Source organism: Homo sapiens, chromosome 3 (assembly GCF_000001405.40).
Source record: "Homo sapiens chromosome 3, GRCh38.p14 Primary Assembly".
In the NCBI taxonomy this organism is placed as follows: Eukaryota; Metazoa; Chordata; class Mammalia; order Primates; family Hominidae; genus Homo; species Homo sapiens.
Window position 1 is genome coordinate 34,089,270 of NC_000003.12, and position 1,385 is coordinate 34,090,654.

The 1,385-nt window shown below is 47.6% G+C and overlaps 1 annotated feature.

The window, feature by feature from the left end:
* Positions 886 to 1,385: an enhancer, noted in NCBI's record as "H3K4me1 hESC enhancer chr3:34131647-34132146 (GRCh37/hg19 assembly coordinates)". NCBI's record gives its function as "activates a minimal SCP1, AML or CMV promoter by ChIP-STARR-seq in primed H9 embryonic stem cells {active_cell/tissue: H9 hESC(primed)}" and the evidence as "EXISTENCE:reporter gene assay evidence [ECO:0000049][PMID:30033119]".

The window sequence follows — 1,385 nt, forward strand, 5'->3', positions numbered from 1 at the left end:
GTGATGCCTCCAGCTTTCTTCTTTTGGCTTAGGATTGCCTTGGCGATGCAGGCTCTTTTTTGATCCATATGAACTTTAAAGTAGTTTTTTCCAATTCTGTGAAGAAAGTCATTGGTAGCTTGATGGGGATGGCATTGAATCTGTAAATTACCTTGGGCAGTATGGCCATTTTCATGATATTGATTCTTCCTACCCATGAGCATGGAATGTTCTTCCATTTCTTTGTATCCTCTTTTATTTCATTGAGCAGTGGTTTGTGTTTCTCCTTGAAGAGGTCCTTCACATCCCTTGTAAATTGGATTCCTAGGTATTTTATTCTCTTTGAAGCAATTGTGAATGGGAGTTCACTCATGATTTGGCTCTCTGTTTGTCTGTTATTGGTGTATCAGAATGCTTGTGATTTTTGCACATTGACTTTGTATCCTGAGACTTTGCTGAAGTTGCTTATCAGCTTAAGGAGATTTTGGGCTGAGACGATGGAGTTTTCTAAATATATAATCACGTCATTTGCAAACAGGGACAATTTGACTTCCTCTTTTCCTAATTGAATACCCTTTATTTCCTTCTCCTGCCTGATTGCCCTGGCCAGAACTTCCAACACTATGTTGAATAGGAGCGGGCGGATTCCAGCTGCATGCTGGGAGAACCACTGCTCTCTTCAACGCTGTCAGATAGGGACATTTAAGCCTGCAGAGGTTACTGCTGTCTTTTTGTTTGTCTGTGCCCTGCCCCCAGAGGTGGAGCCTACAGAGGCAGGCCGGCCTCCTTGAGCTGTGGTGGGCTCCACCCAGTTCAAGCTTCTTGCTGCTTTGTTTACCTAAGCAAGCCTGGGCAATGGTGGGCGCCCCTCCCCCAGCCTCGCTGCCGCCTTGCAGTTTGATCTCAGACTGCTGTGCTAGCAGTCAGTGAGACTCCGTGGGTGTAGGACCCTCTGAGCCACGTGCGGGATATAATCTCCTGGTGCACCGTTTTTTAAGCCCATTGGAAAAGCACAGTATTAGGGTGGGAGTGACCTGATTTGCCAGGTGCCATCTGTCACCCCTTTCTTTGACTAGGAAAGGGAACTCCCTGACCCCTTGTGCTTCCCGAGTGAGGCAATGCCTCGCCCTGCTTCGGGTCACACATGGTGTGCTTCACCCACTGCCCTGCGCCCACTGTCTGGCACTCCCTAGTGAGATGAACCCGGTACCTCAGATGGAAATGCAGAAATCACCCGTCTTCTGCGTCACTCACGCTGGGAGCTGTAGACCAGAGCTGTTCCTATTCGGTCATCTTGGCTGCCACCTCTTATCTTAATTTTATAGATGACACACCTTTGCAGAGATTTCAGTGACTCATTCAAGGTTACATAGCCATGTAGGAAATGGAGGCAGAACTGGAACTCA